The sequence below is a fragment of the Homo sapiens genome, chromosome 17 (genome assembly GCF_000001405.40).
Source record: "Homo sapiens chromosome 17, GRCh38.p14 Primary Assembly".
Classification (NCBI taxonomy): domain Eukaryota; kingdom Metazoa; phylum Chordata; class Mammalia; order Primates; family Hominidae; genus Homo; species Homo sapiens.
The window spans coordinates 47,751,559-47,765,696 of NC_000017.11; positions in this window are offsets into that span (position 1 = coordinate 47,751,559).

Below are 14,138 nucleotides of genomic sequence, written 5' to 3' on the forward strand. Positions count from 1 at the left end.
ATATCTTTAAATCCTTTATAAGTTCTTTTAGAGAAGTTCTCTTTGTAAACTTCCCCTGGGCTTGTTTCTTATAAATGTTATCATTTTCCCTATTGGTATTGAGTGATTGTTTTGCTGAATACACAATTTTGGGTGAATAGTATTTTATTTATTTATTTATTTTTTTTTTTGAGGTGAAGTCGTACTCATTGTGTCACCCAGGTTGAAGTGCAGTGGCACGATCTCGGCTCACTGCAACCTCTGCCTCCCAGGTTCAAGTGATTCTCCTGACTCAGCCTCCTGAGTAGCTGGGATTACAGGCATCCACCACCATGTCTGGCTAATTTTTTTTATTTTTTTTTTTATTTTTAGTAGAGATGGGGTTTCACCATGTTGGCCAGGCTGGTCTTGAACTCCCGACCTCAAGTGATCTGCTCGCCTTGGCCTCCTGAAGTGCTGGGATTACAGGCATGAGCCACTGCACCCAGCCTTTTCTTATCATTTTATATGAGTAATTCCACTGTCTTCTGGCTTCATTGTTGTGAGATCTGCTGCTATTCTAATTATCATTCTTTGTTAGGTCTTCTGTGTTTTTTCTCTGCTTTCCAGATCTTCTATTTATATTCATGCCCTAAAGATTCACTACGATGTGAGAAGGCATGATTTTATTTTTCCTTATCCTATTTGGGATACATTGTGTTTCATGGATCTTTGCATTCATCATTTTCATGAGCTCTGAAAATTCTCAGTCATCATCTCTTTAAATATTGCTTCTTTCTATTCTCTCCAATTTCATCCTTTAGGACTCCAATCAGATGGGTGTCTTTTTTTTTTTTTTTTTTGACAGGGTCTGGCTCTGTTGCCCAGGCTGGAGTGCGGTGGCACTTTCTTGGCTCACTGCAACCTCCACCTCCTGGGCTTAAGCCATCCTCCCACCTCAACCTCCTGAGTAGCTGGGACTACAGGCATGCACGACCATACCTAGCTAATTAAAAGAAATTTTTTGTGTGTGTGTGGAGACAGGGTCTCGCTATGTTGCCTAGGTTGGTCTTAAACTCTGGGCTCAAGCGATCTTCCCACTTTGGTTTCCCAAAGTGCTGGGATTACAGGTGTGAACCATGTTTATCCTTATAATTGCATTATTTGTTTTTGTAAACATTCTATACCTAGCTATTCTGTATTTTCAACATCTGCTGTCCTTGTAGGGGGTGATGATAGGGTTGTTGTCTAAATCTGTTGTTTCTTCTGATTCTCAATGATAGTGGGTTTGCCTTCTTCCTTGCTTGGTGGTCTTCTTTCTTTGTTTATTAAATTTTGCTAAAGAAAATCTTCAAGGAGTCTTTAGGCAATAACACTTCTGAGTATTTAACATGTCTTTATTTTACTTACACATGTGAGTGATAGCTTGACCCAGTATAAAAGTCTAGGTTGAAATCACTTTCTCTCAGAATTTTTTTTCTTAAAGACCAGTATGATAGTACTCTCAGATTTTTTTTTTTCCTGAGATGGAGTCTCAGTCGCTCTGTTGCCCAGGCAAGAGTGCAATGGTGCCCTCTCGGCTCACTGCAACCACTGCCTCCTGGGTTCAAGTGATTCTCCTGCCTCAGCCACTGGAGTAGCTGGGATTAGAGGTGTACGCCACCACGCCTGGCTAATTTTTATATTTTTAGTAGAGATGCGGTTTCACCATGCTGGCCAGGCTGGTCTCGAACTCCTGGCTTCAAGTGACCCACCTGCCTTGGCCTCCCAGAGTGCTGGGATTACAGGCATGAACCATCGCACCTGCCCTACTTACAGAATTTTTAAAGCATTTTTTTCATTGTCACTTAGTTTTTAGTATTGCTCTTAAGAAGTCTGATGCCATTTTGATTCATGATCCTTTTTGGTAGGTTTTTAGATCCTCTCTTGCTTCCCAGTGTTTTAAACATTCTGTATTATATACCTTGGTCTGAAGCCCTTTTTCATTTGCTATTCTGGCACACCCAATGAGAACTATCAACCCAGAAACGCTGTTCTTCATTCTTAGAAAGTGTCTCTTCCTTGCTGGTTCAGTGGCTCATGCCTGTAATCCCAGCACTTTGGGAGGCTGAGGCGAGCAGATCACTTGAGGTCAGGAGTTCAAGACCAGCCTGGCCAACGTGGCAAAACTCTGTCTCTACAAAAGTACAAAAATTAGCCGGGCGTGGTGATGCATGCCTGTAATCCCAGTCACTCAGGAGGCTGAGGCAGGAGAATCGCTTGAACCCAGGAGGCGGAAGTTCCAGTGAGCCAAGATTGCACCATTGCACTCCAGCCTGGGCGAATGAGTGAGACACTGTCTCAAAAAGAAAGAAAGTTTCTCTTCCTTTTTAAAAAACATTTTTCATATTTTTAATTTTTTTTTTTTTTTTTTTTTTTTTTAGAGATGAAGTCTCACTATGTTGGTCAGGTTGGTCTTGAACTCCTGGCCAAAAAATTCTTCAAGCAAGAGCATACTTCCTCCCAGAGAGCTGGTTTACTACCACACCACTGGGAGCTGATTTATTAGGCTGGGGCCCCCACAATGTTAGTGTGTAGAGATATGAGTTCTCCTAAAGAGACTTTTCCAAATTTCTTACCAGCTGACTGGAGAATATTGTAGGAGTGAAATATGAGAAGAGAAACCGAGGGGCTAATTTTTTTCTTTTGCAAGCTTTCACTTACATTTTCTTCTTCCAGCTTTGCCTCACCCTTCCTAGACACTGTCTTTGGTATCCCCAAGTCCCATGTCTTTTTCTTTCATTTTCTTTAGAATGACACTCTATACTTCTAGGTGGTAGTGGTAGTGAAATAGTTATTTTGTTGCTCAGGGCGGGAAGCAGTCATGGGCATCTTGATACATCTGATTTCAGACTTTTAGCCAATCCACCAATTGTCAGTACCATGCCTCAATCCCAGCTTCCACTGTGCCAAGTTCTGAGCCTCTTAAGCATTCTTTCGGGCTAAATCAGTTCACTCATTGTTAATCCTGTTTGTAGACACTGTGGGCTATAGCTCCATGTTGCTTAATCATGCACTACTCCTCCGTCTGCTTTCTAGTTTCCAAAAACTTGTTGAAATGTATTGTCTGGTTCCTTTTCCTCTGCTGTTCTCTTTGTTCCTGTGGTTTCATACATTTGAAAAATTCCTATATTATCATTTTAGTAACCAATACACAATTTTTTTTTTTTGAGACAGAGTCTCGCTCTGTCGCCCAGACTAGAGTGCAGTGGTGCAATCTCGGCTCACTGCAGCCTCTGCCTCCTGAATTCAAGCGATTCTCCTGCCTCAGCCTCCTGAGTAGTTGGGATTACAGGTGCGCACCACCATGCCCGGCTAATTTTTGTAGTTTTAGCTGAGACGGGGTTTCACCATGTTGGTCAGGCTGGTCTCGAACTCCTGACCTTGTCATCTGCCCGCCTCGGCCTCCCAAAGTGCTGGGATTACAGGCATGAGCCACCGCGCCCGGCCCAAATATACAAATTTTAACCTAAACACTCTTCATCAATTTTGAATGGAACTTGGTACATTTTTTCAGCCTTCATGGATTGGCCTTCTTCTTTCTCTACCCCACACCCCCAAATTTCAGACAAGTTTTCTTCTATTTTGTCTCCGATTACCTCCTATCCAGCTAGTATTTATTTTTCAGAGACATTCATTACTCTTCGACTAGATCTCAACCCTCTGTTTCTCTCCATTTTCTTTCTTTCTTTCTTTCTTTTTTTTTTTTTTTGAGACAGAGTCTCACTCTGTTGCCCAGGCTGGAGTGCAGTGGAGTGCCGCGATCTCGGCTCACTGCAAGCTCTGCCTCCAGGGTTCACACCATTCTCCTGCCTCAGCCTCCCAAGTAGCTGGAATCACAGGCTCCCGCCACGCCACCACACCTGGCTAATTTTTTGTATTTTTAGTAGAGATGGGGTTTCACCATGTTAGCCAGGATGGTCTCCATCTCCTGACCTTGTGATCCACCTGCCTTGGCCTCCTAAAGTGCTGGGATTACAGGCGTGAGCCACCACGCCCGACATTTTTTTTTTTTTTTTTTTTTGAGACAGGATCTCACTCCTGTTGCCCAGGCTGGGGTGCAGTGGCGCTATCACAGCTCACTGCCACCTCGACTTCCCAGGCTCAGGTGATTCTCCCACCTCAGCCTCCTAAGTAGCTGGGATTACAGGCACATGCCACCATGCCCAGCTAAATTTTTGTGTTTTTAGTAGGGACAAAATTTCATCATTTTACCTAGGCTGGTCTCAAATTCCTGGGCTCAAGCAATCTGCCCGCCTTGGCCTCTCTAAATGTTGAGATTACAGGCGTGTGCCACTGCACCCGGCCTTTGTTTCTCTTCCTATTACTTAGTTTTCATTTTTTGACTTTATATTCTGTCCTCTGGGAGAGATTTCCAAAGTTATCTTAGTAGTGGCATATTAACTTGGGGATGGCTGAAGATTAATTTCTAAGGAGAGAGTGATCCAGAAGGATAAATATCTGTACTTATGATTTACATGAATGCCTTTCTGAGTGTCTGTGGTTACAGCTATCTCTTAATATGCCATATTTTGTAAGAGTTTATATGGCAAGAGTTATAAACAGCTGGGTATAAAAGTAACTGTTGGGGGCTGGTCTGATGGTATTGGGTTATCAGGACTTATTAGCATTAGTGTCACTAAAGTTGAGAGACAGAGTGAGACTCTCTCAGTCAGACAAACAGAAAAAATCCCAGCCTGCCTAAGCTACTTATACCTAGATTACCACTGGTTTTTCCAGATAGGGAAAAGGGATGCAGGAACTGCTTCAGAAAACATCTGAAAAAACACAACTGACTGTGGTCATATCCTAATATAACAAGTATTCTTCTGTGATGTAAGAGAAATTGTGGGCCGGGCATGGTGGCTCACGCCTGTAATCCCAGCACTTTGGGATGCTGAGTTGGGTGGATCACGAGATCAGGAGATCGAGACCATCCTGGCTAACACGGTGAAACGCCGTCTCTACTAAAAACACAAAAAATTAGCCAGGCGTGGTGGCGGGCAACTGTGGTCCCAGCTACTTGGGAGGCTGAGGCAGCAGAATGGTGTGAACCTGAAAGGCAGAGCTTGCAGTGAGCCGAGATCACGCCACTGCACTCCAGCCTGGGCGACAGAGCGAGACTCTGTCTCAAAAAAAAAAAAAAAAAAAGAAATTGTGGCACGGATACATGGCTGAATCATGTTCAGCCACACACAATATCAAAATGGCCTTTCACCTCACTGATTTGGTTTTTCCCCCAGTTCAAGTGTGCTCTTTAGAGTCTTCATTGAAAGTTTAAGCTCTGCCATTGGATTTTAGTTTTGTTTTCAATTTTGTCTTATCTCATCTATTTTTCCTTCATCCTGGCCTTGTATCTTTGTATCTCAGTTTTCTCCTAATAGATTTATTTTATTTCATTTAATATGCTGAATAGTTACCTGAAATTTTTTGGGTGGGTCTTAAACATGTCAATATAATTGAAGAGGTAACTGACTATGTGGGATTACCAGCTATATATCAGTTCAAAAAATAGTCCAACTGTAACCTTTTTTGGGCAAAATAATAGATATTATATGGCATACTCCTCCTTTCTGAAAACTTCACCCACACCCTCCTCCCTCCAGGGGTAAGGCTCGGAAGGCCATGTTTATATGACGTGACCCTGCCCCACCTCATCCGCATCATAACTGATTGAAAGTGCATTGATACATGAAATAATTGAGGCTGAGAGTCATTAGTTACTTTGGGGTGGTGCTTGAGTTTCAGTTGTCTGCACTGCATTGCAACAGGTCAGCCAAGTATATGAAGAGGCAGAGAATACGGTTCGTGGAGTTGGAGTAGAAGAAGATATGCAAGGAGACAGAGGAATAAAATTTAAGAAGAGATTGAGTGATAGCAAGATGAGAGTAAGGGTGAAAGAGAATTTCCTGGTTCCAGTTCCCTTTAAAGTTCTACTTAACTTCCTCTCTTTGTCCCTTGAGTCACTTCCATGTGGTGATAACAATTTTCCTTTAGTTTGGAGTGGGAGTCTGGAACTACTAAGAGAACCTCAATTAAGACATCCCTTCCCAGTCATAATAAGCAAATCACATCATTGTGAGTAAGAGGATGAAGATGCTGCACAGTCTGTTCCTATAGTGGGAGGACATGGATCCAGCTCATCCCAAACTAATATCACACTGTTAAGAAACAAAACGAAAAGCTGTGGGGGTGGAGAGACAGAGATCACATCCTCATTTTATCCCTGTGTAAATTATTTTCTGACCTATCAAAGGTTGACCCTGCCATTCCTAGGTCTTGCTGAAGTATTGGTGTAGGTTCCACATGAGTAGCAAAAGCTCACAAAGCTCTGCCTATAGCCCATTTCCAATTGTGGAGTTCAAAGTGGGAGGGAACAATTGAAGCTTCTGGCCGGGTGTGAGGACCACAATCATAGTCTGAAGTGGAGGGTCATAGCCAAGCCCTGTTTGCTTCTCATGTTCAATACTAGGATTTCAGATCAGTGAAGAAGCAGTGGGCATATATTTTAGATGGATGCTTTGACTTTGGAGTAACAGTGGACCGTCTTTTAAAAAGGGAGATGTCTAAATGGATTCACCTAGATGGGAACCAAGCCTGTGAGGCCGACAGTAGCTGGCAGAGAGCCGACAACACTCTCCAAGGAGGCCCTTGAACATCACCAGGGCCACAGAGTCTCTCCTGGGTGCTGTACTCAGTGACAACTTCATTCTTTTGAAACTTATGATAAAAAATTTTGAGCATACAAAACATTCACTAGATTTAACAATTATTAACATTTTGCCATATTGCTTTGTCTATTTTTTCAGGCATTCTAAACTAAGTTGTTAATATCATGATATTTCACTGCCAAATATTTCAATCTGCATCTCTTAAAAGCAAGAGCATTTTTGTTACATAACCACAATGCCACTATCATGCCTAACAAAATCAAAAATAATTTCTAGTATGTTCTTTTATTGAGTCCTTATCCATATTTACCTCACTGTACCCTAAATGTCTTCCACAACTGATTTGTTTGCCCAGATTCCAAACAAAGTCTATATCTGATATTTCATTGTTATTCCCCTTCTTTTAATAGGGAATAGTCCTTCTACCTCTCCTTTTTCTTAAATGCTGTTGACTTTTTAAGTAGCCAAATCAGCTGTTCTGTAGAGAAGTATCCCATTTTCTGGATCTGGCTGATTGCTTTCTCATGATGTCATTTAATTTGTCTATACTCTTTATTTCATACAAATTTACATATATATCTATATACACACTCAGTGGGCCCTTGAACCCTCATGTAGTTGAAAATCTGCATAAACTTTTGACTGCCCAAAAACTTATCTACTGTTGATTGGAAACCTTACCAATAACATAAACAGTTGATTAACAGATATTTTGTATATTATATGTATTATATACTATATTCTTACAATGAAGTAAACTGGAGAAAAGAAAATGTCCTTAAGGAAACCATAAGGAAGGGGAAATATATTTATTATTCATTAAGTGAAAGTGGATCATCAAAAAGGTCTTCAACCTCATCATCTTCCTGTTGAGTAGGCTGGGGAGATGGAGGAAGAGGAGGGGTTGGTCTTGCTGTCTCAGGGGTGGCAGAGGTGGAAGAGTTGGAGGAGGTGGAAGGGGAGGCAGGAAAGGCTGGGACACTTGGTATAATTTTTATTGGAAAAGATCTGTGCATGAGTGGACTCATGCAGTTGAAACCCATGTTGTTTGAGGGTCTAATGTTCAGTTACATTAAAATGCACAGTCTGCCTTGTTGTCCAGCTAGAACTTTCTGACCAACTTGATAGTAAGAGGGATTGTTAACAAAATTCAGACAGAGACTCATGTCATATCTTCAAAGATTGGGACACTTGACTAATAAATAATCTCTGCTTGTCCCCACAGGTGAGCCACCTACACACCCTAAGTCTAAAAGTCTCCAAGGAAAAAAGTACACATATTTCTTATTTGAGCTTCTATATTTTGAGGTCCGTTTGTTACAGCAGCTTAACCTGTCTTCTTTCCCACAAAGTTGTCAAGGAAAATATCTACATTAGAGATAATGGATAGTCATTATCCTATCAACAACAAATGGTGTTACTAGAGGTGTCATTATCCTCTAGTAACACCATTTATTGGTTAGTCCATTAATTACCCATTTATTTACAATGCCATCATTATTATATTTTGAATTCCAAGGTATACATAGGTATGAGTCTGTATTTTTTCCTTTTATTCATTTGTCTGTTACTATGCCAATTATACACTTTTTAAATGACACATTTTACTTTGAGATAATTGTAGATTCACAAAAAGTTGTAAGAAATAATACAGAGGCTGGGCACAGTGGCTCATGCCTGTAATCCCAGCACTTTGAGAGGCAAGGTAAGAGACTCTGTCTCTACTAAAAGTACAAAAGTTAGCTGGGCATGGTGGTGCACACCTGTAGTTTCAGCTACTCAGGAGGCTAAGGCAGGAGCATCGCTTGGACCTGGAAGGTGGAGGTTTCAATGAGCCAATATTGCGCCACTGCACTCCAGCCTGGACGACAGACAGAGACTCCATCTCAACAACAACATCAATGAAAAAATTTTTTTTTAAGAAATAATACAGAAATCCCATGTACCCTTTATCCAGTTTTCCCAGTGGTAACACTTACAAAACTATAATATTACAACATAGGTACCAACATTAATGCAGTCAAGATACAAAACATTTCCGTCACCACAAGGATCCTATTGCCCATTTATAATGACACCCATTTCCCTCCAGATCTCACCCCCTCTTTGATGCTTGTAGGTTACCTATTAATCTGTTTTCTATCAAATTTTTTCTTAATGTATTTGGGGGCTCTGTTATTAGGGGCTTTTATGTTTATAATTGTAACTGAGGATTTTATCAACATATAATGTCCTTTGTCTGTTATAATCTTTTTAAAAAATGTTAGGTCTGCTTCGACAACAATATAACCACCAGCTCTCCTTTGGTTACGACTTGCATGGAATATTTTTTCCTTCAAATTCTTTGTTTTCTTACATCTAAAGTGAGTCTCTTGTAGACAGCATACAGATGAATCATGACTTTTCATCCACTCTGCTAATTTGCCAATTAAAAATTGTTATATTTAGCCCATATCAGATGATCTGATATCTGATAACATATCTGACATGTTATATTTAACATATCAGAATGGAATTACTGATATATTAGGGCTTGAAATGAATTGGTAAGTATTTCTTGCTCTTTTACTTTCTGGAAGAGATTATACAGAATTGGTGTTAGGTTTTTTTTTTTGTTTTTTAAGACGGGGGGGTCTCACTCTGTCACCTAGACTGGAGTACAGTGGCACAATCTTGGCTCGCTGCCACCTCCACCTCCCAGGCTCAAGCAATCCTCTTGCCTCAGCCTCCCGAGTAGTTGGGACTACAGGCACACACCACTACACTTAGCTAATTTTTGTATTTTTTTGTAGAGACAGGATATCACCATGTTGCCCAGGCTGGTCCCAAACTCCTGAGCTCAGGTGATCTGCCCTTCTCAGATTCCCAAAGTGCTGGGATTACAGGTGTGAGCCACCACACCCAGCCAGAATTGGCGTTAATTCTTTCACCATTTGATAGAATTCTCCCATGAAACCATCTGGGCCTGAAGATTTCATTTTTGGGAGTTTTATATTATGAACTCAATTTACTTAATAGTTGCAGGACTATTCAAATTGTCTGTTTCATATTGGGTGTAGATTTTCCTTTTTGAGGAATTGGTTCATTTCATCTAAGTTACTAAGTTTATATGCATAATTATTCATAACATTCCCTTATTCTCCTTTTATTGTCTGGAGATCTGTAGCAATACCCCATTTTCGTCCTGCAATTGGTAACTTGAGTCTTCTTTTTTCTTTGTCAGTCTTGCTAGAGGTTTGTCAATTTTATTCATTTTTAAAAGAACTAGCTCTTTGTTTCATTTATTTTCTCTATTGTTTTTGTTTTTGTTTTAAATTTAATAGACAGTTGCTCTTATCTTTCTGCTTGCTTTGCATTTATTCTGCTCTTCTTTTTCTGGCCCTTGAGGAGGAAGATTAGATTATTGATTTGAGACTTTTCCTTTTTTTTTTTTTTTTTTTTTTGAGACAGAGTCTTGCTCTGTCCTCAGGCTGGAGTGCAATGGCATAATCTCTCTGCAACCTCTGCCTCCCAGGTTCAAGCAATTCTCCTGCCTCAGCCTCCCGAGTAGCTGGGATTACAGGCACACACCACCACGACCAGCTAATTTTTGTATTTTTAGTAGAGATGGGGTTTTGCCATGTTGGCCAGGTTGGTCTTGAACTCATGACCTCAGGTCATCTGCTTGCCTTGGCCTCCCAAAGTGCTGGGATTACAGCTACGAACCACCATACCCAGCCTCCTTTTTTCTAATATATGTATCTAGTGCTATATATTTATTTCTCATGGCCAGTCCCTATGGCTCACACCTGTGAACTGAGCACTTTGGGAAGTTGAGGTGGGTGGGTCACTTGGGGTCATGAGTTCAAGACCAGCCTGGCCAACATGGTGAAACTCTATATCTACTAAAAATATTAAAATAACCCAGGTGTGGTGGTACGCACCTGTAGTCTCAGTTACTCGGGAGAATGAGGTGGGAGGATTGCTTGGGACCAGGAAGTGGAGGCTGCAGTGAGCTGAGATTGCACCATTGCACTCCAGTGTGGGAGACAGAGTGAGACCCTGTCTTTAAAAAAAAAAAAAAAAAAAAAGTCTCTCTAAGCACTGTTTCATATGTCTGTCCTACATATTTTGATATTGCATTTTTATTTAGTTGAATGTATTTTTAAATTTCCCTTGAGACTTTCTGTTTGATCCGTGGATTATTTAGAAGTGTATTGTTTAGTTCCAAGTGTTTGAGATTTTTTTGTTATCTTTCTATTATTGGTTTATAGTTTGATTCCATTGTGATTGAAGAACACATTCTATATAATTTTAATTATTTAAACATTGTTGGTCAGGCTCAGTGGCTCAAGCCTGTAATCCCAGCACTTTGGGAGGCCGAGGTGGGCAGATCACCTGAGGTCAGGAGTTCAAGACCAGCCTGGCCAACATGGTGAAACCCCATCTCTACTAAAAATATAAAAATTAGCCGGGCATGGTGGTGGGCACATAGAATCCCAGCTACTTGGGAGCCTGAGGCAGGAGAATTGCTTGAACCTGGGAGGCGGAGGTTGCAGTGAGCCGAGATCACTTCATTGCACTTCAACCTGGGTGACAGAACAAGACTCTGTTTCAAAAAAAAAAAATTATTGAGATAATTTTATGGTCCAGGATGTGGTATGTATCTTGTGGGCACTTGAAAATAATGTTCATCCTGCTGTTTTCAATTGTAATGTTCTTGTTGGTTGATGATGTTAGGTTTTTCTGTACACTTACTGATTTTCTTTTCTTTTTTTTTTTTTTGACAGAGTCTAGCTCTGTCATTCAGGCTGGAGTGCAGTGGTGCAATCTTGGCTTACTGCAACCCCCACCTTCTCCTGCCTCAGCTGCCTGAGTAGGTGGGACTACAGCCACATGCCACCATGCCCAGCTAATTTTTGTATTTTTAGTAGAGATGGGGTTTCACCATATTGGCCAGGCTGGTCCTGAACTCCTGATCTTGTCATCCGCCAGCCTTGGCCTCCCAAAGTGCTGGTATTACAGGGATGAGCCACTGCACCTGGCCTCACTTGCTAATTTTCTATCTAATTGTCCTGTTCATTGATGAGAGAGGGGTGTTGAAGTTTCCAATATAATTGTGGATTTGTCTATTTCCCCTTTCAGTTATATCAATTTTCCCCTCTCTGTTGGACAGCTCTGAACATCAGTTTATTTACATATTTTGTAGCTCTGTTGTTTGATGCATACAATTTAGGATTGCTATGTCTCCTTGAGAGACTGACTTTCATTTTCTCTGCTTCTGGTACTTTTCTTTGCTCTGAAGTCTACTTTACCCATGCCAGGTGCAGTGGCTCACACCTGTAGTCCCAGCACTTTGGGAGGCCAAGACGGATGGATTCCTTGAGGCCAGGAGTTTAAGACCAGTCTGGCCAACATGGCGAAATTCTGTCCCTACTAAAATTATAAAAATTAGCTGGATGTGGTGGTGCATGCCTATGATCCTAGATACTCAGGAGGCTGAGGCATGAGATTCCCTTGATCCTGGAAGGCAGAGGTTCCACTGAGCCAAGATCATGCCACTGCATTCTAGCCTGGGCGACTGAGTGAGACTCTGTCTCAAAAAACAACAACAAAAAAATGAAGTCTACATTATCTGATAATAATATAGCCACCCCTGCTTTATTTTGATGGATATTTGCATGATATATCTTTTTAAAAAAATCCCTTTACTTTCAACCTGCCTATACAGTTACTGTGGTGCCCCCTTATCTGTAGTTTTTCTTTCTGTGGTCCAAAAATATTAAGTTTAAAATTCCAGAAATAAACAATAAATTCTAAATTGCTCATCATTCTGAGTAGCATGATGAGCTCTCTCACCATCCTTCTGTCTTCCACCAGGATGTGAATCATCCCTTTGTTCAGTGTATTTATGCTGTATACACCACCTGCCCGTTAGTCACTTAGTAGTCAGTCTTGAGGGTTATCAGACTGAAAAAACATCATATATATAGGGTTCGATACTATCCTCAGTTTCAGGCATCCACTGGGTATCTTGGAACATATCCCCTGCAGATAAGCGGGGACTACTGTATATTTGAAGTAAGTTTTTTTTAGACAGCATATAATTTGGTCCTATTTTCTATAAACTCTGCCAATCTCCATTTTTTAATATGTGTATTTAGACCATTTACATTTAATGGAATTACTGATATGTTAGGAATTAAACCTGTGGGTATTTGTTCTTGTTTTATGATTATTCTCTCTGTTTCTCATTTTTGTTCTTTTTCCTGCCTTCCTGTGGCTCAATGGAACATATTTTAGAATTCCATTTTGATAGTGTTTCTGAGTATATCTTTTTGTATAGTTTTTAAAATAGTCACTCTCACTATTATATTATCTATCTATCAATCTAATCACATTCTACTGATGTAATTTTTCCCAGTTAGAATGAAACATACAAACCTTATCTTTCTTGGCTGGACATGGTGGTTCACCCCTGTAATCCCAGCACTTTGGGAGGCTGAGGTGGGAGGATCACCTAAGGTCAGGAGTTTGATACCAGCCTGGCCAACATGACAAAAGCCTAAAACAAAAAATACAAAAATACAAAATACTAAAAATACAACAACAAAAAAAACTTAACCAGGAATGGTGGTGCATGCCTGTAATTCCAGCTACTCAGGAGGCTGAGGCAGGAGAATCGCTTGAACCCAGGAGGCGGAGGTTGCAGTGAGCTGATATCACACCACTGCATTCCAGCCTGGATGACAAGGGTGAAACTCCATCTTGAAAAAAAAAAAACCCTTATCTTTAAGTTCCTTTACTCTCCCCATTTTTAGTATAATTGTCTTAAATATTTCCTTTATATTCATTTAGAACCACACCAGGTAGCCTTATAATTTTGCTTCAACCATCAAATGTAATTTAGAAAAATCAAGAGGATAAGTTAGTTTATTAAATATATTCATGTTTTTGCTTACCATGTTCTTCCCTTCTTCCTGATGTTCCAAGATGTTCTATTATAATATCCATTCTGTTTAAAGAATTTCCCTTAGCCATTTTTAAGGGTAGACCTGCTGGCAACAAAGTCTCTTAGTTTTTCTTCATGTGAAAATGTCTTGATTAACCTCTTATTCATGAAGGGTATTTTTGCTGAACGTAGGATTCTCGGATAAGTTATTTTCTATCAACATCTGGAAAGTATGCCACTTCCTTCTAGCCTCCTTAGTCTCTGATTAGAAATCCACTGTCATTTAAATTGTTTCTCCCTTATAGGTAAGATACTACTTCTCTCTCACTGCTTTAAAGTCTTTTGCTTTGCCTAGTTTTCAGAAGTTTGTGATGTGTTTCGGTGTGGATTTCTTTGAGTTTAGCCTATTTGGGATCCACTTGACTTCTTGAGCCTGTAGGTTTATGTCTTTTGCCAAATTTGAGATGTCTTCAGACACTATTTCTTCAAGTACTTTTTTTTTTTCCCCCTACAGGGTCTCATCGCCCAGGCTGGAGTAC